Source organism: Homo sapiens, chromosome 8, assembly GCF_000001405.40.
Source record: "Homo sapiens chromosome 8, GRCh38.p14 Primary Assembly".
NCBI lineage: Eukaryota > Metazoa > Chordata > Mammalia > Primates > Hominidae > Homo > Homo sapiens.
Window position 1 is genome coordinate 96,239,287 of NC_000008.11, and position 24,958 is coordinate 96,264,244.

At 40.2% G+C, this 24,958-nt stretch overlaps 2 protein-coding genes across 6 annotated transcripts in view, besides 8 other annotated features; one reads left to right on the forward strand and one right to left on the reverse strand.

Annotated features, from left to right (window-relative positions):
* On the reverse strand, window positions 112–22,327 carry MTERF3 (mitochondrial transcription termination factor 3). 4 transcript variants are annotated; one of them, NM_001286643.1, is made up of 9 exons: window positions 22,215–22,327; window positions 19,071–19,414; window positions 17,676–17,828; window positions 11,620–11,809; window positions 7,021–7,168; window positions 6,574–6,645; window positions 4,633–4,794; window positions 508–569; window positions 112–399 (listed from the first exon to the last, which is right to left on the reverse strand). In NM_001286643.1, the coding sequence occupies exons 2-8, from the start codon at window positions 19,402–19,404 to the stop codon at window positions 543–545; spliced, it is 1,086 nt and encodes a 361-aa protein (NP_001273572.1). In that variant the 5' UTR covers window positions 19,405–19,414; window positions 22,215–22,327; the 3' UTR covers window positions 112–399; window positions 508–542. The 4 variants fall into 4 exon arrangements, with proteins under 4 accessions (NP_001273572.1, NP_001349893.1, XP_011515356.1 ...); NM_001362964.1 differs by lacking the exon at window positions 508–569 and having other exon boundaries at window positions 17,676–17,793; XM_011517054.3 differs by lacking the exon at window positions 508–569 and having other exon boundaries at window positions 17,676–17,793; window positions 18,906–19,414.
* Window positions 21,077–21,770: an enhancer, noted in NCBI's record as "H3K27ac hESC enhancer chr8:97272591-97273284 (GRCh37/hg19 assembly coordinates)". NCBI's record gives its function as "activates a minimal SCP1, AML or CMV promoter by ChIP-STARR-seq in primed H9 embryonic stem cells {active_cell/tissue: H9 hESC(primed)}" and the evidence as "EXISTENCE:reporter gene assay evidence [ECO:0000049][PMID:30033119]".
* Window positions 21,922–21,981: an enhancer, noted in NCBI's record as "active region_27660". NCBI's record gives its function as "activates an Ori minimal core promoter by ATAC-STARR-seq in GM12878 lymphoblastoid cells {active_cell/tissue: GM12878}" and the evidence as "EXISTENCE:reporter gene assay evidence [ECO:0000049][PMID:35858748]".
* Window positions 22,145–22,469: a silencer, noted in NCBI's record as "fragment chr8:97273659-97273983 (GRCh37/hg19 assembly coordinates)". NCBI's record gives its function as "represses an EF-1alpha promoter that drives an FKBP-Casp9 reporter gene in an ReSE screen in K562 erythroleukemia cells {active_cell/tissue: K562}" and the evidence as "EXISTENCE:reporter gene assay evidence [ECO:0000049][PMID:32094911]".
* Window positions 22,222–22,371: a silencer, noted in NCBI's record as "silent region_19386". NCBI's record gives its function as "represses an Ori minimal core promoter by ATAC-STARR-seq in GM12878 lymphoblastoid cells {active_cell/tissue: GM12878}" and the evidence as "EXISTENCE:reporter gene assay evidence [ECO:0000049][PMID:35858748]".
* Window positions 22,464–23,156: an enhancer, noted in NCBI's record as "H3K27ac hESC enhancer chr8:97273978-97274670 (GRCh37/hg19 assembly coordinates)". NCBI's record gives its function as "activates a minimal SCP1, AML or CMV promoter by ChIP-STARR-seq in naive H9 embryonic stem cells {active_cell/tissue: H9 hESC(naive)}" and the evidence as "EXISTENCE:reporter gene assay evidence [ECO:0000049][PMID:30033119]".
* Window positions 22,552–22,921: a silencer, noted in NCBI's record as "silent region_19387". NCBI's record gives its function as "represses an Ori minimal core promoter by ATAC-STARR-seq in GM12878 lymphoblastoid cells {active_cell/tissue: GM12878}" and the evidence as "EXISTENCE:reporter gene assay evidence [ECO:0000049][PMID:35858748]".
* Window positions 22,616–24,958, forward strand: part of PTDSS1 (phosphatidylserine synthase 1) — a 75,094-nt gene continuing 72,751 nt past the window's right edge. For both annotated transcript variants that reach the window (NM_014754.3, NM_001290225.2), the window contains exon 1: window positions 22,616–22,933. In NM_014754.3, coding sequence (NP_055569.1) covers window positions 22,755–22,933 — 179 coding nt within the window. In that variant the 5' untranslated portion in view covers window positions 22,616–22,754. The remainder of the gene's footprint in view (window positions 22,934–24,958) is intronic.
* Window positions 22,972–23,151: a silencer, noted in NCBI's record as "silent region_19388". NCBI's record gives its function as "represses an Ori minimal core promoter by ATAC-STARR-seq in GM12878 lymphoblastoid cells {active_cell/tissue: GM12878}" and the evidence as "EXISTENCE:reporter gene assay evidence [ECO:0000049][PMID:35858748]".
* Window positions 23,302–23,541: an enhancer, noted in NCBI's record as "active region_27661". NCBI's record gives its function as "activates an Ori minimal core promoter by ATAC-STARR-seq in GM12878 lymphoblastoid cells {active_cell/tissue: GM12878}" and the evidence as "EXISTENCE:reporter gene assay evidence [ECO:0000049][PMID:35858748]".

Genomic DNA, 24,958 nt, shown 5'->3' on the forward strand with positions numbered 1-24,958 from the left:
TGTATTTCCTAAGAAGGAAGGAAAAAGTCAAACAAGAATTAAGTCACTAGGAACTTGATGAAAGTTCTACCACAGTATATGTACCCAAATTTACAGTATCAAATGGTTTCCAATATCAGTTGAGACCCGAGGCATTTAAAAATATATTCATTTATTCATATATATATTCACTTTACAATACTGCATTTTAACATACATAAAAATCTAAAGCGTTTTTAAGAATTTTTCAAAGTCCTGTACTGATGCTTTGGCAATCTCTTCACAAAATATTTCATCAGGAATAGATACTAGTTTGTCCAAAGAGATGTAGTTAGGTTTTGCTGGATCATACTGTGCTCTTCCTAAATAGGTAAGAAACAAGTGTCTTTCTTTGACCTTAAACAGCCTTGTATTAAATACCTAGAAAAGAAAAAAAAGTTTTTAAAAAACACTGCACACGGGAGGATGAAATATTAAAAAGTTTACTTGGCAAAAATTTTAATAGGTTAACCAATACCAAGTACTGACCATGTGTTCAGTAAGTAGGATAAATGCCAGAGGATTTAAATCCTATATTTTCTGTGAAGAAACTAGAAAAAGGGATTCAAAATCAACATACAAAACAATAATAAAATAATTCAGGGCTATACTGTGTGCAAAGAAGATTGAGTGCTCCAGAGACAGAGGAGAATGTGTTAAAAAAGCAAATCTTCGGCCGGGCGTGGTGGCTCACGCCTTTAGTGAGGCTGAGGCAGGCGGATCATCTGAGGTCAGGAATTCAAGACAAGCCTGGCCAACATGGCAAAACCCTGTCTCTACTAAACATACAAAAATTAGCTGGGCGTGGTGGCGCATGCCTGTAATCCCAGCTACTCAGGAGGCTGAGGCAGGAGAATTGGTTGAACCCAGGAGACGGAGGTTGCAGTGAGCCGAGATCGCGCCACTGCACTCCAGCCTGGGCAACAGAGTAAGACTCCATCTCAAAAAAAAAAAAAAAGGCAAATCCTCAAGCCTCACCCCAAAACTACTTAATCAGCAACTTTGAGAGCAGAACCCAGAAATCTGTCTTAACAAGCCCTCTAGATGATTCTGATATCTACCAAGTTTGAGAACCAATGTTAGAGATTAAGATGTTATTATATAAAAATGTATAAGATTTCATAATCTGTAACACCTCTCTCTCTCCCTTTTTTAAAATTTGCACTCCTCCCCTTAACTAGAATCAAAATGAAATGAATCTGACCTCTGGGAGAGCAACTAGGGAAAGTATGTCTTACCTGCCTCAAAGTAAAACTCCTAAAAACTAGAGTAAGCGGCAGCAACTTTAGAAAGGAGTCAGAAGCAGGCAAGGCTCTACAGCCAGCTACAGAAAGAAGAGACAAATGGGAGATCCGGCCAGACTTGAGCTACAGCCCTGAAGCCTGAGAGACCTGTGAGGTTCCCCGATGAGGCTCAGAGGAAGCCCTTTCAATATTATGCCTGCCTCAAGCTCTCCTCTTGGCTGTTACAGATATAATGTGAACACGGGATGCGTTCACATAACCCCTAGGCCTCTTTCCCTATATTCAAGTGGAAACAGTAACAGATCAGTTGGAAAGGACACTATGAAAAGCAATTGTTGAAAACCAAAGTACTATGAGAAGAGTGACTAAAAAAAGCACAGGGTGTACCTCAACATGGGTTTGGCTTGCTTTTGGAACAGAACATCTCCCTTCTCAGTCTCTGCTATTCTGCCCTTGTTCTGATAACTAAATTCCCATGATCACAATATTATGGATAACGAAGATGTAAGAGGTTTTAGATAGATTTTTTTTTAGAAGTATGACTCCTATGCAGTGATTCTTGGCTTAAAAAACTATCACCCGGCCGGGCGCGGTGGCTCACACCTGTAATCCCAGCACTTTGGGAGGCCAAGGTGGGCGGATCACGAAGTCAAGAGTTTGAGACCATCCTGGCCAACATGGTGAAACCTCGTCTCTACTAAAAACACAAAAATTAGCTGGGCATGGTGGCAGGCGCTTGTAGTCCCAGCTACTCAGGAGGCTGAGTCAGAAGAATCACTTGAACCCGGGAGGCGGCGGTTGCACTGAGCCGAGATCACGCCACTGCACTCCAGCCTGGCGACAGAGCCAGACTCCATCGCAAAAAAAAACAAAAAAAACAAAAAACAAAAAAAAACTATCACCCAACAACAGACAAAACCACAAATGGTTCTGGTGCTCCTAAACGATTACTAATTTCCTAAATATAATAACACTTCAAAGCATTTATTTAGCTTATGAGCAGATATTATACGTTTACTTCTCCAGTGGACCAAAGTTACTCCATCATTAGAGAGTTGTGTACTCTTTCAAGTCCAAAAGCTACTGCTCAGATTGCGGTGTTTCTCCCTTCTTTTTTTATGGATGTGGTGGTGTGGGGGGAGAGTTGTTGGCCACCAGGGGCTACTTTGCCATTGGCACAAAAATTTCATCCTATTAATGACATATTAAATTCTTCGGAGTTAAAAAAAGTGCCCCTAGCCTGAGAATTATTGGTTCCCTCTAATCCTAAGGTGGACTTCAACTTTGCCTTCACAGAAAGTCACAGAGGAAGGGGAGAGTGAAGGTTTCGGGGGATCCTGAATATAACCTCTTTCCTTAGCCTAGTGATTTCTTCACATTCATTACCCTAAAACTGCTTTTGTTATCCTTTACCTTCCAAGATCTCTTCTTTGAAATGACTAAATTGATCATAGTTATTAAGTTATACTTCTTTCCCCATTTTTAATTAATCGTAAGTCAGATCTGCCAACCAGGAATATTATCTACATGAGAAAATTAGTTCCATGCCACTGAGATTTAAACACCAGCCAAAAATGTAAAGTCTATATCAGCCCATTCACAGCCTTACTGTCCGTTAATGTATTTTTTCATTAATAAGCTTTTTATTTTTCTGTTTTTATTCCCCAATAATTCCACCTAGACTCTAGGAATCTGAGAATCCCAATTTGGAAGCCACAATTCTACAACAGAGCTTCTCTGAGGCAAGGGTTTGGGGTGCCTAAAATCTGTGTTTTTAAGTGATTTTGATGCATCTGGTCAGCTTATAATTTCTTCTATTTGGAAAGCTCCTCTCCATCTTTTAAACACCACTCCCTCTTCTACAGACAATTCAAATGTACTTCTAGCAGATCCTAGTAAAGGGCTTGGGTTTTTAAACTGGACTGTTGGAGTTCTAATCGTGGTTCTGCCCCAACCTTGTTACTTGGGTAACCTTGGACAGGTTACTTAAATCTCTTTAAGCTTAAGTTCTTTATGTGTAAAATAGGGGTAATAATAGCATCTACCTCATATGGTTGTTGTGAGAATTAACTGTGTTAATACAAATAAAGCAATAAAGATAGAGCTGGCACACAGTAAGTACTCAATTGCTGTTATTACTTCTATAATTCTCCTACCGCTTCTAAATCACTGTAGGAGCTCTGGTTAGGACTCTACCATCATATAAAGCAATTCTATTTTTAAACCTGTCTTCCACACTCGATTATAAGTTCCACAAGAACAGAGATCATGTCTGCTTGACTTTTGTATCCTCAGTGCCCAATGTGTAGCACTGATGGATGCTCAGTGATATACTGGAAAAATGAATTACCCACCAACCCAGGGAAAAACAAATTGTCATTTCTTTTTCGTTGAAGATTATTTCACAATTACTCCATGAGCCAAATTCACAAAACTGTAGGCTTCTAACACTTCTATAATGGGTATATTTACGTTTGGTAAAATAGGAAAATCCTATATTAGAGGCCCGTTCCTAGTGAAGTATAATAGGCAAATAAATATAGCTGTATGTGAAGGAACTGGACCTAATGCAGTCTAGTTCTGAGAGTTGTATTAAGGTCATATTTCTTTTACCCATCTTTTTTCAAAAACAGGAACATGTGTTCTAGCAAATGGAGTAGAGGGATCACTTAAATAAAAATTCAGTTTGTCATTTATCCAATAAATACTGAGTGGCTATTTGCATAGGAAATAGGAAAAAAGGATTACTTTGATAAAATCCAATCATTCATTTGTTCAACAAATATTAATTGTGTGCCTACTTAGTGCCAGGTGTAGTTCTAGGCACTGAGGATTTGGCAGTGTATAAATCAGACAAAGTTTCTGCTTTTAAAGAGTCAATATTCAAGATTAATATTCTTGTGAACAGCAGATAATATCACTCACTAGGTAAAGAATATGGAAGCTTGATTAGCTTAGAAAATATAATTACGGCTTTGGCATGATGGCAAACTGGATCACTTTTATATTGGGATGGGGATCATTACAATATGGCTTATTGATTCATGAATTTAAATAAACTGTGACTAAAAAGTACACGTAGCAGTGAAAGGACCTTTAAGGGAAGTGATCTATTCCAAAGTAAAGTAGAGAAAAACATGAGAGAGAAGAGAGACTACATTAGATTTGTTGGCCTGATTCCAACAATCAGAACTAGGACTAGGTAGAAACTCCAGGGAAAGAGACTAATCACTGATTTCTCCTCAGGAGATGGACATTTGCGCCCTGCAAATTGTAAACTCTTCCCAGCGTACAGAACTATGCAGCTGGAGAGCAGCTCCAAATGAAGCGCAATGGCAGCGCTTACAGAGAGAGCTGTGAGTGGCATTACCTGTGGGAACTTGACAATGATGTGGTGGGGAATGCTCATCACATTGTGCACAAAATCAAACGTCTCGGTAAGTTTCATTTTATTTGCAGTTAACATCTTTGGGATTCTGGTGATCATATGTTGAATTTCGTTATGTTTAAAACCAAGTTCAAGACGATAAACCTAAAAGAAAGTAAATTTGCTATGAATCGTTATGTAGAAATAGTTATTTTGGTACCATGGCAAGGCTGCACTGATTTTTTTTTTTTTTGAGATGGAGCTCGCTATGTTGCCCAGGATGGAGTGCAGTGGCATGATCTCCTGCCTCAGTCTCCCAAGTAACTGGAACTACAGAGGAATGCCACCACACCTGGCTAATTCTTGTATTTTTAGTACAGCCAGGGTTTCACCATGTTGGCCAGGCTGATCTTGAACTCCTGACCTCAAGTGATCCACCCACCTTGGCCTCCCGAAGTGCTTACAGGTGTGAGCCACCGCGCCTGGCCATGATTTTTTTTTTTGAGACGGAGTCTCGCTTTGTCATCCAGGCTGGAGTGCGGTGGCACGATCTCAGCTTACTGCAACCTCCGTTTCTTGGATTCAAGTGATTCTCCTGCCTCAGCCTTCTAAGTAGCTGGGATTACAGGTGCCCACCACCATGCCTGGCTAATTTTTGTATTTTTAGTAGAGATGAGGTTTCACCATGTTGGCCAGGCTGGTCTCAAACTCCTGACCTCAAGTGATCTGCCCACCTCGGCCTCCCATGCCAGGGTTACAGGCATGAGCCACCACGCCTGACCATGATTCTTTTAAACTTAAAATAACATTTTAAAATTTGGAGACAGCTATGCCAGTGCCTTCAAGGAATTACAGCTTCCGGCTCCTGGGGTCACCAGAATTTCAAACCCCTCTGCTGAGAAAGAGCTACACCATGATGGTCATGAAGCTCACCAAAGGGGCAACCATAATTACAAGAGGGAATGAGTGACATGGGAGCGCTGCAGGTCAGAGGCATGGGCCCAACACCAAACAGATCCTTCAGCAGCAGGATCTTCAAAATGCTTTTTGAGCTTTTGCTCCCAAGTACACCCACATATGTGTTGTCTGAAAAACGACATGTCAACATTCCAAGCAGAGATGAGGAACTAAACAACCAAACACAGGCCGGGTCCTCTACTTGCTTTCATAGTGTCCTGTGTGCCCCCACCAAGTAACTGCCCCCATCACTCTGGATTTGATCCCCCACTAGATTGTAAGCTCCTTGGGAGGAGAAGCTGTCTCCTCAGCATGGCGCTTGGGCAGGAGCTCAATAAAAAGATTTCTTCAATGACTGAACTGTTCACCTCAGAAAACAGCCCTTATATAATATTTCAAATACTACTACAGCTTTATATACTAACTAGTCAGCTGCTCTTGGCTTTATCTTATTCTCTTGGAGGAAGGACAGTAAAGAGTGTCTGGTACATTCTGTGACAGAATGAGAGCTGGCAATTGGGACAGGTGCAAAGGAGAACAATGTGCTGGCTGCTACTCTTTTCACAGAAGTCTTTTGGATCCAGCCTCCAAAACTCCCTGAGACATACACAGACTGTCATGCTGGCCAACAGGAGTACTTTCGTAGACTGGTAACACTGCCCAGGTAACAAAGACGTCAGACGCCCACACTGGGCAACAGAAGCAGTTTCAGGGTACCACTTATATCCCTATCTAATGCTTTAGGATTGTGGGTATCAATGTCTGCAAGGTGATTTACTCAGGTTAATACCTGCTCAACGTGAAAATATTAACTGAAACAAACTGCTTGCTAGACATTTGTTAAAGATAATTTCCTATTTCTCTTTTTAGAAATAACTTATTTTAAAGTCTAGTTTTCTTTTACATGACAATAGCAAAATCTGTTCTCTTCAGAGGATTTTAACACTTAAAGAAACTGATTTCTCAAAAAGCCTAAAGTTGTCCTACCTTCATATTTTCTTTCACGGGTTCCAGACTTCCAGTTAGCAGCCTTGGGAGACGAACTACCAGATCTCTAGTCTGTGGTTGCAAACAAAACAATCTAGTATTACTATACGTGCATCTTTAACTAGTTTGGAAAATTAAGGCATTATTAAGATACAAAGTTAAAACTTAAAATATGACCCAATCAGAAAAATGATAGGAACCCCAGGAATAGATAAGATTAATACTGTTTGGAAAAAAAGAAAACAAAAACTGAAGGAACCAGTTTGATTAAGTATTATAAAATGATGGAGCTCTATGTTTAAACTAGCAGGATAATTCATTTTTGTACAAAAAATACCAGGAATTTATATGATTCACATGGGCCAGGCATCTGCTGGGAACATGAGATCTATCAGCTATTAAAATGTACCTGACATGGAAATAAACAAATTCTCTCCTTTTCTTTACCTTCTTCACACTAAGTTCAAGTTCTTTCTGAAAAAATCCCAATCTGTTATCCAGTCTTTCCACTGAAAAGTTCAGCAAAAATGGTGCTTTTCTGACCATCTGTGCAACATCTGCTTTACTGAAATTTTTTGAATGCAGATAAGCCACCCTAGAGAAACATAAATACATACGCATGTGATAAACACTTACATTCTTTTTTTTTGAGATGGAGTCTCATGCTACTTCCCAAAGTAACAGCTGTTTTTAAAAAGGCTCCCACACCCTAAATTACTAACTAAATAAAAGCATTCTGTAACAATGGCAAAAACACGTTTAAAACAAAACAAGCATTCACCCAACTCTAGATGGTTTCCACTTATACTTAAAAACAGAAAATAATTCTGAAATCCACTAATAGGTATTAGTTGCGGTTTTTGCCATTACTTTCAATAGCAAAAACATGATTACTTTTGCACCAACCTTTAGATTCTCTTTTCAATTAATCTGGTTTATTACTTGGTAAGAAAGAATGAAATAGCTTCTGCTTAAGATTTTTTTTTTTTTGATAAGAACAGAAAAACACAAATTAAGAAAATAACACAAATTAAGAAAATTAAGGAAATAATGGTTATAACTGAGAGAGGCATTTTTTAGGTTAGTATATTTACTGAGCCCCTCCCCTCCCCTCTTCTATTCTTTTCTTTTCAGGAAGAGTCCCGCTCTGTTGCCCAGGCTGGAGTGCAGTGGCATGATCTGGGCTCAATGCAACCTCCGCCTCCCAGGTTCAAGTGACTCTCCTGCCTCAGCCTCCCAAGTAGCTGGGATTACAGGCACACACCACTAGACCCAGCTAATTTTTGTATTTTTAGTAGAGACGGGGTTTCACCATGTTGACCAGGCTAGTCTCGAACTCCTGACTTCAAGTGATCCGCCCACCTCAGCCTCCCAAAGTGCTGGGATTACACTTGAGTGACCATGCCTGGCCTGAGCATGTATTTTTATAAATGATTTTTACTACAGTCTTTCAATATGTATTTTGTCAACTGAGAGATTTTCCTGCTAAGTTTCTGAAGATCAAACTATGTAAGTTAGTAAAATATAGAAAGTTTGACTATAAAATAACATTTTTAAAAAATCTAAAACATAGTAAAAGATGGTTTTACTAAATGTCTAAAATATATCAGGATATTATTTTGTTTAATTCTAACCAGAAAAACAAAAAAACTTGTGAGCCAAGTGAATTTTCCATGAGGAAACATGGATTCAGGGAAGTTAAATAACTTGTCTGAGATCATCACCTAATTACTGACAAAACTAAGATGTGAACTCAGGCATGCCTACATCTAAAGCCTATGGTATTTTTATACTATATACCAAAACTTATATTACTTTATAATCACATGACTATTACTCCTTTAAAAATAGTTAAAATATTTATACGTTTAAGTATATAAAAATTTTAAATGCATGGCAAAACAAAACAAAACAAAAACACCCCACTATAAATGAAGTCAAAAGACAAGTGACAATCTAGGAAAAATATCTGCAACATGTCTCAGAGACAGAACTAATTTTCTTCATATATAAAAGAACGTTTACCGAAAAAGAAAAAAGCCTGATTAAAAAATAGCAAAGGATATATTACAGAAAAGGAAATGTAAACAGAAATTCAACATATGAAAAGATGCTCCAAACAACATTCCATGTTTCAACATCTGATGCTCCAACCAACAAATAAAGTACTCTTTTTATCTATACAATCAACTGAAAGCAAAGTGTGATAGCACTGTATCTGTAAGGATAACAGGGAAGCTGGCACTTCTGTACACTGTTGGGGAGAGTATAAACTGGAAAACAACCCCTATGAAGGACAATTTGGCAATATCTATTGAAGTTACAGATGAACACACCCTTTGACCTAGCATTTCCACTTCTAGAAATACGTCCTACAGAGAGACACCAATATGTGTGATTTTTCAGAAGTATGTACAAGGTAAGTCACTACAGCCTTGTCCTAACAGTGGACTGGAAACATACTCCATGCTTATCAATAGGTACTAGCGAGATCCGCAGCATGGACTGTACTAGAGTTAAAAAGAATAGGCAGCACCAAGAAAAAATAATCTCCAAGATACAGTGAAGGTAAGATAGTGGGATACAGAATAGTGTGTATAAATGCTACCAATTGTTATGTATTTGTATTCATGTGTGTATACACAGATATATGCTTCCTAGAAGGTTGAACAAAAAATCCTGATAACAGTAGCTGTGTCGATAGGTGGGTCTTGAAAGGCCAAGGGACAAAGTAGGAGAAAAGGAGGTATTACTTGTTTTTTTGGCAGCAAGGTTCAGCATTTGATTAAAAAATTATCAAAACTATTGTCTACATTGTAATGATTTTTCCAATAAAAAATCAAGATATAAGGCCCACCCAACCAAAAAAAGAGTATTTAAATAATTAAAATGCGACTATTCATTTGAAAATTCTACAAGGATTTTTTAAATATAACTTTTTATTTAAAAAATAAGTACATGAAATCAGTGCTGTTATAGAAATAAGACTGCTGCATATATCAGAACCAGAAACAAAGTTCATTTAAATAAAGGTTCTCATACCTGTGCCTATTCAGTATTTTTTACTGTATACTCTTTTGAATACATGTGGCTGCATTACCTATTAAAAAATTCTAAGTAATTTTTAAAAATGTTCTACAGCTTAATTTGATAGCCAGCCAGGTTTAGGAATCAATGGACTATGCTACCGACGTGAGAATATTCCTCAATTGTTAGGAGCATATATGGCTTGAGCAAGTAACTTAAGCTATTAAGTTTCCTTCAAAGAATTAAATGTAGAGACAGTGTGTAGTAGTCAGAACCCTGGAGTTTGATTAACTGGGGTTGAAACCACTTACTCTGCTACTTATACTAACGGTGTGTAATCTTGGGCAAATTATTTAACCTCTCTGCGACTCCTATGTACAAAGGTGCTATTAACAATAATGGTGCAGCGTGTGAAATGATCCCTACCCTCCTGGTATTCATGCTTTCTTGGAATAAATCTTGAGCAAAAAGGGCAAGCTGGTTTTTGACTGCAGAGAGAATTAGTGTTCCTGACAGCCAAGAAGACTAGAGCTGGATATGTCAGATGAGTTTCTTAGAATCATTCTCTCTCCCTTCTGTATTGTGATAGACTATCACTCTCATGAAGGGAAAGACTGTTTTTGATGTCTAAAGTTTAGGCCAGTGTCTCACATATAGAAGGGCTCAAATGTTCAATTTAATAAATAAGGTTTTTGTTTAGTTTTTTTTCCTAATTCCGAGAAAAGACATTAGACTGATGGTTTAAGGAATCGCAAAGCTCTCTGAAATGTAGTAAGGATCAACATCAGTGTGGAGAACAGTCTGGAGGGTCATGACTAGAGGCAGACCAATTAGGAGACCATTGCAGTAATCTTGGTGTGATATTATGGGGAACTGAGGCAAAATAGTCAAAGCAAAGATTCAGAGAAATGTCATGACTGATTTGAGCTATAAGAAGAGAAGAACTGATGGGCTTTCATGATTTATTAGATGTAGATGATAAAAGAAGAGAAAGCAAGTTAATACCAGTATTTCTGAGTTGGGCAAAAGGGTATTCAGTGAATCTGGGAATACAGACTGGGTTGAATGACAGGTGGGGGCGACGATGAATTCAACATGTTAACTTAGGGACAGGGGTTTTGCCTTGTTCTCTGTGGTATTCCCAATGCCTAGCAGGATTCTTACCTCACAGATCAATATCTCACTGTATTTATTTTCACAAATTCAATAATTCTTTGAATGTTGAATGAAGTACAGAGATGTTTATAAAAGTGCTCCTTAAGAAGAAAACAAGGAACAACCAAAATAGCCAACTTACGGAAATGATTAAGCAAATTATACAGTAATTTGCCAAGACAATCTCAAATGTCTAACAACAAAAATTGGCCAGACAAAAACTACAAAAACCACAAAAGATCATATCTTTAAGTGCACTCTCAGATAAGTTAGCTATTTGTTGATGGGTTTTTTTTTTTTTTAAGAAAAAAACGTATTCCAGTTTCTAAAGAGAAAGAGTTAATTACTGACTCAGTAATAAGTTGAAAACATAAAAATAATAATGGAGCCAGGCAGGGTGGCTCATGCCTGTAAAATCCCAGCACTTTGGAGGCCAAGATGGGCAGATCACTTGAGGTCAGGAGTTCGAGAACAGCCTGGCCAATGTGGCGAAACCCCATCTCTCCTAAAAATACAAAAATTAGCCAGGCATGGTGGCCACCTGTAGTCACCCAGCTACTTGGGAGGCTGAGGCAGAAGAAGAAGAAGAAGAAGAAGAAGAAGAAGAAGAAGAAGAAGAAGAAGAAGAAGAAGAAGAAGAAGGAGGAGGAGGAGGGGGGGAGGGGGAGGGGGAGAAGAAGAATGGGTACTTGAATGAAAGAACTGTTGTAAATACTTAATTTAGATCAAAGAAGGTCTATAACAAAAAAAATTCATGTTATCTCAGTAGACCCTTGTGCAGCAGAGATTTAAAGAATACCTTCCACATATATTTCCTTCATAACCACTTCTTAGGTTATATGAGAATCCTTTTAAAAGTCCTACCTGGTCTTCAGATTTTCAAGGTCTTCAGAGAAAATTGCATGATTTTTTGTCAGGAATGCTCCCAGTTGGTTATCCTCTATACCCACATCTTTAAGAAACAGAAGCATTTGCTTAATGTCTTTTTCAAAATCCAGTCTCAGAAGGAGGTTTGCTGCTTCTGGATGTTTTTCTATCTTGGACAAATCCACGCCTATAATAAATTATAAATACTGTTTGAAGATGACTTCTTAGTTCACCCATTAAACTCATATACATAAGCACAAGAAATTACTGATGGAGATCAACACCTATCCAAAGGAGCACTGAGATAGATCAATAGAAACTTCTAAATATTTTTAAACTAAGTTGGTTGCAGAAACAACATAGTATTTATTTTAAAAATCAAGTACAGAGGAAAATAGAGCATTTAGTGCTACATTTCCCCCCAAAACAAATTCACTAAGTCATATTGGTGTAGGGTCATCATCTTTGTCTAAGGTTTCTTGAATATTGTTTCAGAATGTTTGTCAGTCCCAGATGAACCCCACAGTAACTGGTAATTCTGCAGGGTAACAAACAATATGAATAAAATGTTACCTTCTTTGAAGATTTTATTTTTCCTTAGTTATAAGCATTATTTAAAAAATATGTTTATGATTCCCATCATAGGGGGAATAAAAATGACCCTGTGCCTTACTCATCGTTGTAATCTCTAGGTCTTTAGCACGGAGACACGTCCCTTGAAGAAACTCAAGAAATGTCTGAGTGAGAACAAGTGAACACATAGCCCTTCAAGTATACAACAAAGCAGAAAGTATACAACCTTAAACCTCCACATTTAAAACTTCTTAATGGCATCACACAGTCAAAAAAAAATCGTCATATTCATTATAACTCCAAATATTATTAGAACCAAATATAATTATAAATCCAAATTTCTTGATATTAAACAGGTATTAAGATGCCCATGAACAGTAAAATAGATTAAATACACAGACACAATGATATGGTTAGGCTGTGTCCCCACCCAAATCTCATCTTGAATCCCCATGTGTCGTGGGAGGGACCAGGTGGGAGGTAACTGAATCATGGGGAGAAGTCTTTGCTGTGCTGTTGTGTGATACTGAATAAGTCTCACGAGATCTGATGGTTTTAAAAAGGGGGGTTTCCAGGCACAAGCTCCCTTCTCTTGGCTGCTGCCACGTGAGACGTGCCTTTCACCTTCTGCCATAATTGTGAGGCCTCCCCAGCCATATGGAACTGTAAGTCCATTAAACCTCTTCCTTTTGTAAATTGCCCAGTCTCGGGTATGTCTTTATCAGCAGTGTGAAAACAGAATAATACGCACACTCAATGAAGATGAGAAACAGATCCAGAATAAACTAAAAAATGTTATTATACAAACAATAATGCATTTCAAATCAAATAGATAGACTATTTGTTAAAATATATGGGACCATTAGCTATACTTTTGAAAAAAATTATCTTTATATCTTATACGGAAATTAATTCTAGATAAAGAATCTAAACATACATTAACTCTACTAGAAAAACAAAAAAAATTACGTTTAACTACAGAATAGTATAAAACCTAGTGTAGAAAAAGGTCTGGAAAGCTATTCCACAATTTGGTTAATAGTGGTTACCTTTGAGAAGTGGAACTGGGGACGAAGAGAGGGTAAGAGGTCCTTCTCTTATAATATCTGCACTTTTGACAACCGGATGTAATTCTTTTGTAATTTAAAAATAATATTAGTAGAAAAATAAATCCAATTATTAGATGGACAAATAAATAAGATGAAAACCAGTTCCAAAAATCTGTGATAAATGGGGGAGCGGATGCTCTAAAAATAACATAAAGGGTTCAGACTTCACATTTAACTAAATATTACAGCTGACATGAACTGAAGTGCTTTGCTCAGCATGAGCTGTCACACCCTGACTGTGCTCGAACAGAAATCCTGAAAAGCTGCTTTTTAACAGCAGTAGGAGAGCAGAATCTCATCAGGAATGCACACTGCTCTCAATGCAAATAACTTGGGCTCACTTCATTTCATTAACTTGAAAAAATATTCCCTGAATGCCCACTATGGACCAGGCACTTTTTTAGGTATTGGGGTTATAAAAAAAGAATAATACACGATTCTAACCTCTAGGTGACCAGTCTAGTTGGGCTTTACCTCATCAGTTCAGTAATTACGAATATTACCATTTTATTCAGTTATGGTTACACGTATTTAGTACATCAATCAGGGTCTAGCAGGCTATACAACGTGCCCTGGAAAGTACAAATGACAAGGACTTTAATGAAGGGACTCTATACAGCGGTGTGAGCAGCCTTAAGAGAACAAACAAGAGCCTTCCCAACAATAAAGAGACAAGGAGGCAAAATGTTACCACGGCGCAGAGGGACTAGAGGCTATTAAGGAAGGGCTGCTCAAGAGTGCTGTTGTCATGGAGTGAGGCAGGTACAGGACCCAAAGAAGGGAAGGAACGGGAAAAATATCCCCACCTGACCCTTCTACCTTCTGTCCTGTAGGTGCCTCCCACTGGCTGAAGCTGCCAAGAAGCCAGCTGGCATAGGAGCCCTGGTGCATAGGGGTTGGCCTCCTGGGATACAGATCGGGCAGAAAACAGGTCTCAGAAGCAAACAGAGAAAAAACTAGGACTTGGGTACTCAAAAATACTGTCTGACAGAGCAAATAAGGCTCCCCTAAGTTACTATTATTTAAGTTACTTCTAAGACATGCTGTTGAAGTATCAGCATACAGGTAAAGGAATGGCTGAAACATATTCCAAACCTGTAAGTATACTGTAAATTATTTAAAGATAAGGACTAGGCCAGGCACGGTGGCTCATGCCTGTTATCCCAGCACTTTGGAAAGCCGAGGTGGGAGGAAAGCTTGAGCCCAAGAGTTTGAGACCAGCCTGGGCAACACAGTGAGACCTCCCTCTATTTAAAAAAAAAAAAAAAAAAATTAGCCCAGATGGCATGTGCCTATAGTCCCAGCTACTTGCGGGGCTGAGGTGGGAGGATCACTTGAGCCCAGGAGGTCAAGGCTGCAATGAGACAAGACTGTGTCACTGCACTCCAGCCTGGGTGACAGAGCAAGACCCTGTGTCAAAAAAAAGATAAGACAGGGACTGTGTCTTAGGTTTTATCTTGTATCATCCATAGCACCTGCCATAAGACAGGGAAAGCTGTTTCGAAAGGAAAAGTGACTGTCTCCTCACAGCAGACATCATCTTTTTCCTGCCTCTGAATGTACACTTTTTAAATTATATGTTTATGGGATACAACATGCTGTTTTGACATTTGTATACATAGTGGAACGATTAAATCAAGCTAATTAACATATTCATTACCTTACATATTCATGACTTTTTTTTGTGGTGAGAACACTTAAAATCTACTCTCTTAACAATTTTCAAGTATACATTATTATTAACTACCATCATCATGCTGGACAATAGATCTCCAAAACTTATGCCACCTGTCTAATTGAAACTTTGTACCCTTTGCCCAACAACTCCCCATTCCTCCCCACCCCACTCCCCAGCTCCCTCTGCTCCTATGAGTTCAACTTTTTTAGCTTTCATATATAAGTGAGATCACGTAGCATTAGTCATTCTGTGCTTATTTCACTTAGCATAGCATCCTCCAGGTTCATCCGTGTTGTTGCAAATAACAGGATCTCCTTTTTCAAGGCTGACTAGTACTCCAGTGTATAAATATACCACATTTTCTTTAGCCATTCATCCACTGATGGACACTTAGGCTGATTCACAGAACACTTTATTTGCCTCTCATGTGGGACTTATCACTTTGCTCTTCATCCTTGCATTCCAGTTATTCTTATATATTTAGATGTTTCTGAGGACTTGAAGCTTCTTGAGAACAAAGGCCATTCTAAACATATGGGTAACATATGGGTAACTGGGCACAGACAGATGAGTATACAATTATAATAGAGTGTCATTAATGCTAGGATCCAAGTAAGCAGGGAGTGAAATGAGAGCCTGAAGAGGGTCACTCTGTCTGCAGGGTCAAGAAGACACTTTAGAAGTTACTTGGACTTCAGTGATGTTCTCCAGTTGTTGGAGTTGGCTAAACAAAGGAGGGAAGTGGCAAGCCATGAAGCTGAACAGGTAAGCAGAAGCCAAATCAGGAAAAGCTTTGATGCCATGGGAAGGTTTTGAAGGATTTTAAATAGGTCACTGACTTAGATCTGCATTTCAGAAAGAGCACTAACACTGGAAAGATATCAGAGCCAATACTGCTGAGGAGAAGACTATCAAGATAGGAGGCTCCTGCAGCCACTCAGTGACAAATGAGGACCTAAACAAGGTAGTGACTGTAGGATGAGAGAAGTGGATGGATTTGAAAGAAATAGAGAGGGTAGAATCCATAGGATAAGCTATTAAATTAGATGTAAAGAGGAAGGGGACAAAAGCAATAAGAATCAAGGATAGGCCGAGTGCGGTGGCTCATGCCTATAATCTCAGTACTTTGGGAGGCCGAGGTGGACAGATCCCTTGAGGCCAAGAGTTCAAGATCAGCCTGGCCAACAGGGTGAAACCTCGTCTCTACTAAAAATACAAAAAATAGCCAGGCATGGTGGCACGTGCTTGTAATCTCAGCTACCAGGGAGGCTGAGGCAGGAGAATCACTTGAACCTGGGAGGCAGGTTGCAGTGAGCTGAGATGGTACCACTGTACTCCAGCCTGGGAGACAGAGTGAGACCCAGTCTGAAGAAAAAAAAAAAAAAAAAAATCAAGGATGACCCCCAAAGTTTCTAACAGAGCACAGATTTTTCTCTTTTTCCTCTCCTGTTAAAAATCACCTCCCAAAAATATGGGGAATGACAAACAAAAAATGAGATCCTTCTTTGAGGAAACGAGATTATATCCCCACATATCTGAAAACATCTGAAAACAGATGAAAGCATGGCAACAGCCTTATCGGAGAGGAGAAAGACGACACTGAAATGCCTGCAAATGAGAATCTGGCAAGTGGTAAGTGATCAGTACCACAAAAAACTCAAAAGTCTCCAAAATTGGAGTCCCTAGAAATCTGAGAGATTAGAGGTGAGGTACAGACTAAAAACTGGGGTATTGGGTATGGAGAGACCCGACCTCCCCCAAATCCAGTTCCTCTCAATGCACTAGGAGAAAGGAGATTCATTATCTGGGAAAATCAAGTATGAGAAGTACCAAACCCAGAGAAATGAGGAAAGCAAAAGTTTGTAATAAAATGCCAGACTAAAAATAAGATGACTAAATGAAAGTTTGGACGGAGATCCCCTGGCTCCCTTAAGCTATCCAGATCCAAGTGCAACCTAATGGTCAACAAGTGAAGGCAGCTATAGAGTAGGCCTAGAAACCATTCAAATCAGGAGGACAGTGGCTTCAGGAAGGAGGTCGGGGTAGTGTGACAAGCAGGGAACAATCCACTCTGGAGAAATGAAATACATCATCTGATAGGGTTACCTGGGAAAAACTGTCCTGAGAGGCTACTGGAAGGTATGGAAAAGTTTAACCCCAGAAACAAACAAACAAACAAAACAATTCATCAAATGAAGAACAAGGCAACTATTACTGCCGGAAAAATGAAAAGTTGTACAGGAAGGTAAATAATGATAGCATACTTCTTGTTAGGGCAGATAGCAATATTTATAGTCATAATTTAACTACTGACTAATGATTTATCTAAAATTGTAATTTATATTAGGAGAATTGAAAAGAATACAGGAAAAGTACATGTGTACATACAAGAGATCAAATGATGTCTAAAACTGATGAACCAAACAACAGCACTACAAACAACTATTTTAAAATGAGGAGGTTGAACACAAACAGAAAGAATGATACAAGTTAAGTAGATGCATCTGGGGAATAGGATGCAAGATCACCAAGGATGAGGCAGGGAATACGGTTTCTCACTAGAAGCCTTTATGCTATTAGACTTTTGCTTATGTTTGTATACTACTTAGTATAGATTAAATTGTTAATTTAAAAAAGTAAAAAAAGTAATGAAGAGTACATGCAAAAAGTACTTGTAGTTTAGTCAAACTTACCTAGAAGAACCAACTTCTGCAGAGTCTCAGAATGATCCACATAGTCTCGAAGTGTGAATGAAGCTGGTGGCAATGGAGGGTCTGCAATAATCTGAATAGCCTCTTCCTCTGAAATTGGCTGCATTGGAGACAATGGAGGCAATTCATCCAGTTCTTTGAAAGAGAGAAACAAATTAGTGCTCTAATATGCACACTTAAAACTATTTCTGCAAAGACCAGCTCTTCCCTTGTTTGCTTCTTTCAGTGGTTAAATCTTGGGATCATTTTAGAATTAAACATCCAAGTCCCTAATTTTTCACCTTTTAAGAGGTAAGGTTACAACTATTTAGACAGACTAACTACTGTTCCTCTGAGATTAGAAATTTGTTGGTAAATTTCAAAGCACACAATGCCTTTCCTTCACTTAATCAGTAGGTGAGAATGCTAAAAATCACCTAACTTTCAAGTGAATTTTGAAACAGAGATTGAGTTTACCATAGCCTGTTAACTTGGCTAAAAGTACACATATGCCAACAGTCTGAATTGCATGGATTAAAGTAATCATATCCCGAAAGTCTTTGTTTTGACCCAATGCCCTCCCTTCCAAGTTACCCTCAAATACATCTTTAAAAGGGCTTCTATGATTGTTTCTACAACCTGCAGTCCTCTCTACAGGAGATGTGACTCTCTAGTACAGCCCTGATTCTGAAGTTGTTTTTGTTTTTTTAAAATCAAACGCAGCATGGAAGACACTTAGAACTACACATTACCTTAAGCTAAGGAATCAGGTCTGTGATCTTTTGTTCTGTTTTGTGCTTCTCATCATTAACTATCCTTTCTCATCATTTATAGCCAGCATCTCCTCCCTGCCCTCTCCCCAGCTCTCTTTCCTTCATATTCTACTTAACCTTATATCATTTCATTACCAGCGAAATATTCCTAGAATAGGACCCATAGGAAGGAGAGGATTGACTAAAAAGCGACCATGAGGGAACTCTGTGGAGTTAATATAATTGTTTTATTTGTTGATTGCAGTAGTTCTTACACACTAAATGCATATGTCAAAATTCATAGAACTATATATCCCACAAGATGAATTTTACTTGATATAATTATACCCTAATAAAACTAATTACCACTAGAAGAATTTTGTTTTAAGAATCTAAACAATAAAATATTTAAAAAGCAAATGTTTTATATGTGTAGCTATAAAATAATCTTACACGTTAGCCCACAAACTTTTTTTCTTACCAGTAAAATAAAGGCATGATAGAAGTTCATCAATAGAACTGGTATTATTCTTTTTCTTTCTTGGCACAAAATATTACCTGAAATGGGCTAGCAGAAGGTAAACAGGTAGCTTGTTCAAATGGCCAAAGTAGGGAAAGGGAGACTTTTCTGAAAGTTCAGAATTACCTTCTAGAAACAGCTCAGAATCAAAGCTGGATATATTTTGTGTCTTCTGTGACTGTTCATTCATGGAAGGAAGCAGACTGCTTTGGGCAGAATTATTCTCCTGACTACTTGAGCTAGTAGACTGGGAACTATTCCATAAGGAGGAAGTCCTGTAAGTCTTAAATCCCCACTGGAGAAAGCAATTGTCAGAGGATATCTGAGGCTGAGCAGAAAAGCCATGTAACAGTGTTCTTGCTGGTCTAGTAAAACGTTTTGTGAGTTGTGCAGCATTAATGAGGCTCCTCAACTTAACTGAGTTAAACCATCTGGGTATCTGTTGGGCTGACAAAGCCATTTTTCTTAGTCTACAAAGGAAAGATATAACCGTCAAAAGAAGAGAAATTTAATTTACTTAAATGTTTAAAACGGTATTCAAACAACAAAAAGATAAACTGGAAATTATTTTTTTCTAATTGAAAGGTGTTTAAATATATATTTAGTCTAAAATAGTGAGATGTTTCTTATGTACAGGAAAAGCCAACAACAAGGCAATCTCAGTTACAAACCAACAGACAGGAACTTCTGAGTGGAAAAATAAAGATATACTTTACAATTTAAAAACAAAATGCAATGACACTGGTGTAAGAAAAATGCTTAAAACAAAAATCTGCAAATGTTCAAGTGACAGCAGACCTCACTAATCTGTTAATTTAATCATTTAAAGAGAATAAGCTGATGCAAATAAGTGTTCTTGAAATTTGGTGTGAAGGGTGTTTCCGCAGCACATTGCTGATCAAAGTAACACTGAATTATTCAAATGCATTTTATGTATATAAATTTGTCCCAAAATGAAAAAACAGAAATCTACTGTGTCCTAAACAAATCATCAAAATATTATCATTGATATACAGAACAGTGAAAGCAGTTTCTTGCTTCATTCTCAGGGCTGAACACTGTTGATTACTTCACAGATAAAGCTGTTCTTCCAAAGGGAATTGAACAAAACCAGTTTTGTCAAGTTTTGTTTCACTGTAGGAAAGGAGAAAAAAGCCTTCAAAAAGAAAAGGTCAAAACTAGTAACAAAACCAAGTGACAGAAATAAATAAGCAACCAGCAATTAATACCTGTATATTTTGACTGAAAAAGTAGTTTTCAAAAATATTTTTATCAGGAAAGGCTAGTGCTATGTTAAACTCCAGGAATATGAAGGGATTTTATATTTAGCCAGCTAATTAGAAAGGTAAATTTGATGCATATAATCTTACGTTAAATAACATTATCCATATAAAACACAGGATGGAGTCAGGATATAAGAAATGCTCAATAAATGTTAGCCATTATTATTGGTTACACAACCAAATACAAAAATTCTGCTGAATTAATTGCTGCCTACAACTTTATACTTTGTTTTTCTGCATACTGGAATTCAGCTTGTTTTATGCTCTAAATTAGACCAAATACTTGAGGGTCTAATCTTTTCTTGGAGATCTGTAGTTTTGGGAAGTTTGCTGAAAGAGATTTTACAAAAGTGAAAGTTTCCTTTCATTCTGCAATTATTTATTATTATTATTATTATTATTTTTTTTGAGACGGAGTTTCGCCCTTGTTGCCCAGGCTGGAGTACAACGGCACCATCTTGGCTCACTGCAACCTCTGCCTCCCAGGTTCAAGTGATTCTCCTGCCTCAGCCTCCCGAGTAGCTGGGATTACCCACGCCCGCTACTATGCCCGGCTAATTTTTTGTGTTTTTAGTAGAGACGGGGTTTCACCATCTTGGCCAGGCTGGCCTCGAACTCCTTACCTCAGGTGATCCACCCAGCTTCCCAAAGTGCTGGGATTACAGGCGTGAGCCACTGCGCTCGGCCCATTCTGCGATGATTTTAGAAAAGAAGTAAGTATTCACAATACCCTGCTGGGATAGGTGGTTTCTGTTAGATTTTGGTGGGAAATGGGACTCCAAATGTGCCAAGTTTTCCCTCAAACCTACAACATTCATTCTCTGCACGGTAGTCATAAGGGCACTAAATTGAAAGTCAGAAGACCTCGGTTGTGCTACCTTGACAAGGCTGTTTCTGGCAGCAGTCTAACAAAAGCAGCAGTCTAGCCCATGATGTGGGGGGTGGGGGTGGGGTCAATAACTATTCTTCAAATAATGCTTTTTTAAAAGGCTAGGGGTACAATAAGATGATTCTTAAGGCCCCTATCAGCTCTAACATTTTTTGACGTCTAAGCACTTCATCCTACTTCAAACTCCTGAAATCCCAAATTCATCCTGAAGCCTTTCCACACTCAATACCACTTAAACATCAGGAAGACTCACTTTCAAATTTCACCCCGTCATTAAAAGATCTTTGTGCATACAACTAATGTTTATCCTTGCATTTTTATTTACAAGTGCACTATCTTCTCCACATCCTTTCATTGCTGCCTACACATCTTAACAATTGATTAACTGTTCATGCACGAGAGCAGAGCTGGGTCTCATCCCTGGATCCATCCTTCCGGGGACTATTCTCCACTTTCCCAGAGCCTTGTACTGCTCTAATGTTTGCGGAATGGAAATAAATCAATGGCAAGTACAGTTAACTCACTTGCTTACACAGTATGCAAAAGCGGGTAGGGGATGTGCAGATGTGTATAAAAGCCCTGTAAGGTGGTAACCTGAAGTCTTCTAACAAGGTCCTTTCATCAGGAAAATTACAGAAAACCCTTAAAGAAACTGAAGTCTCTTAACAATTCATATATACTGTTCTCAATGAGTGCCTAGTGCTTCGCTAGAAAAAGGCACTGAAATAGAGTTCAAGATTTCTACCTACGAAATGCTATAAATGAAATCAGGAGAGAAAGGGAGGTTATGGGGGCAGCTTCCTAATAAAGGGTCTCTCAATACTTCCCAGGCCATTTTAGCCCACTTCAGTTCCCCAAACTTGCGCAGGAAGGCAGAGCCCCCTCCTGAGGCTTCTCACACTGCGCTAATTAGCCAGCATGGTTGAGTTTTCACTACATCAGCCAGGGAAAAACACAAAACAAAACCAATCACCCTCTACTGGGCCGCGAAAACCTAAAGGCCCTTGAGGCCCTGGGGCGCGGTCTGGACGCGGGTGCGCCGGAACCTGAACCCTCGCCAGGAGCGCGATCCTCGTGCTGGGGCAGCTCCTGCTTTACCTGTGGCGAGGCCTGCTTCCCGTAGCGGGTGACCCCGGGACCGACCAACTCGCTGGGCCGCACGTCCCGTCCCGCCGCGCCGCACGCCGGCTCCTCAGCCCGCCCTACACAGCGCAGCCGCGCTCCCGGGCCCACGTGGGCCGCGCCCGGAGTGGGCGAGACCATGTGCCGGGTTACGCGGGGAGACAGCGGGCTACGTGCTCTGAAAAGAGCCAGCCAGGGGCCCCGGCTACCCTTCTCCGGCTCGCTATTCCTCTGAAGTCCTGTGGACTTGGAGTCTGAAAATTCCTCGAGTGGTAGAGATGCCTCAGCTAGGATGACAGCGTGGGGACGGCCGGCGGCGTCCCCTGCCCCAGGCCGCGGTGGCGGCGCCGCGACCCCGCCCTCTCGCGCCTGTCCTTCCCTCTGCTCCCAGCCTTTGCTGGGCGCCAGACCCGGCTTTGCCGTCCGGCTATTAGCCTACTGTGGCTAGTCACCCCCGGGGTCCCGGCCTTCTCGGGCTGGGGCCGCCGCCACCGCGGCAGGACGGGGAGGCGGGCCATGGCGTCCTGCGTGGGGAGCCGGACCCTAAGCAAGGATGATGTGAACTACAAAATGCATTTCCGGATGATCAACGAGCAGCAAGTGGAGGACATCACCATTGACTTCTTCTACCGGCCGCATACCATCACCCTGCTCAGCTTCACCATCGTCAGCCTCATGTACTTCGCCTTTACCAGGTGGGGCGGCCCAGCCGAGCGGGGGGCGCGTCCAAGGGCTAGGGAAGAGGCGGGAGGGAGGGTGGCGGGGAGGGGGGCCCGGCATGGCTCTGGGTGAGGAAGTGGGCTGGCTGCTCCACGCACACGCACTGGCAGCCCGCCGCCCACGCGGCCCCTCCGCCCGCCCGGTGTCTCACAGTACGCTAGCCTGCTCCCCTACCCCTCAGTGCCCCTTCTCCATACAGCGCCTCCGGTTACACGGGGAACGCACGCGAGTCACCTAGCACGATCGCCCCCTCACCCACCGCACTCAGCATCGCTCCACACAACATCACGACGCGGGCCCCTCCTCTGCACTGCTCCAGCCTTCGTCCCTACCCAGCACACCGCATGAATCATGTCGTATGCACCACTTTCAGCACACACCGCTACACATACAAAGCACCCCAATCCACAGCGCCTGCAGGCACCATACACAGGCCCAGGACACAACCTAGATCCCTTCCTGTGGAACTCCGGTATTCGGCACTATCCGTAACGCACAAAAAATGCACATGTGTGCTGCATACACGGTCTTTCCTGTGCAGCACTTCCCGTATGCATTGCACACAAGTCATCCAGCATAACACTTCCCCCAGCCTCAAACACTACCATCTGTACCACGGCACAAACTGCCACTCTAAACACACACCTCACAGCGGACCTTTCCTTTCCAGCACAGCCCAATACCCATCATCTGTGTACATGGCTGCACAGACACCAGCCCGCCACACATCACGCGGTGCATACCCTGCTCACTCATTACCTAACATACGTGCTGAAATGTGATCTTGTCCAGCAATTTTAATGGTGCCTGGGGTATAGTAACTGCTGTGTGTTAAATGAAACACATAAACCTCACACAGCATAACACAACTCTCTTATTCCCTGGAAAACATACACACACATTCTAATATATACCGGTTCATAGGAGCTGCCCAGCCCAAATCTTGAACACACCTCATGTTAACTCTGGCACTGCGCCTGTGGCTCCTCATTCCTAACCTAGAGAACTAATTCATCCTTGGTTCATAAGGAGGTACACACCGTGGTTCCTACTTAGAATGATTTATACTTTCTGAATGAACCTCTTTAAAGAAAGGGAAGTCACACCTCTCTCACCATTATGGCTTAAAAGGCCAACTTAGAGTAGAGTAGTTTTTGAGCCACACTTTTGGTTTCAAAACTGGCTGTGTGTCCTTAATTAAGTTGCATAACCTTGCTCTGAGCCTCAGGGGCCACACTCGTAAAATGGGGATGAAATATCTACTTATATAGGGTTATGAAAATTAAATGAATGTGTGTGAATGCATTTAGCAGAGTCCCTGGAGCACAATGTACAATTCATGTCAGTTACTTCTCTCCCAGTATTTTTATCCAACAATCAAGGTTCTCTGTCAGGGTCAGCAGAACATGTGTAGGGATATATATATTGGGTAGTCACAAGGATTGAGAGAACTTCTAGTATTTGGGAGGGGGAGCAGTTAACGGATACTAAATGTATTGTGACATATGTGACAGCGCTGTACAACATAAAGGGAATTGTCTTCTACACAGTCGTTTGCATACACACACACAAGTGCCGGTGGTGCCTCCCTTAGGAATAACTGCAGTTTTTCAAATCCTCATAAAACTAATATCCTCCCACATCACACTTGTTCCTTACCTCTGGGATTCATTTGACTCTTGGTTCTTGTTATGTAAGTGTTTATCCATTTGAAAGAATCTACCTAAAGGTATAAAGCTTAAGTAACAATTGCTTACTCTTTAATGATTGAGGGATCTTGCCACTATTACTATAAAATCTGCTAAAGCTGTGCAGCAGGTGAAGACCAGACCTTTCCACAGTACCTGACCAGACATATTTCTAGCTTTGGAGAGAAATGAATCATGTCCCTAACTATGGTTACTTTCAAATACTTCATTATGTTGCCTGATTTTATCACTTAATAGCTGTGTGGCCACATAATTTTGCTAGGCCTCAGTTTCCTTATCTGTATGTAAAAT

Bases quoted from the DNA above. Each gene is read 5' to 3' on its own strand.
- MTERF3 (NM_015942.5), bottom strand. From the start codon at position 19,404: ATGGCTTTGTCAGCCCAACAGATACCCAGATGGTTTAACTCAGTTAAG. The intron at 17,829-19,070 runs GTAATTCTGAAC...TCTCTTTCAAAG, and splicing joins TTCTGAGCTGTTTCTAGAAG to AACTGGATGAATTGCCTCCA. The intron at 400-4,632 runs GTAATGCCACTC...TTTCTTTTCTAG, and splicing joins TCATTGTCAAGTTCCCACAG to GTATTTAATACAAGGCTGTT.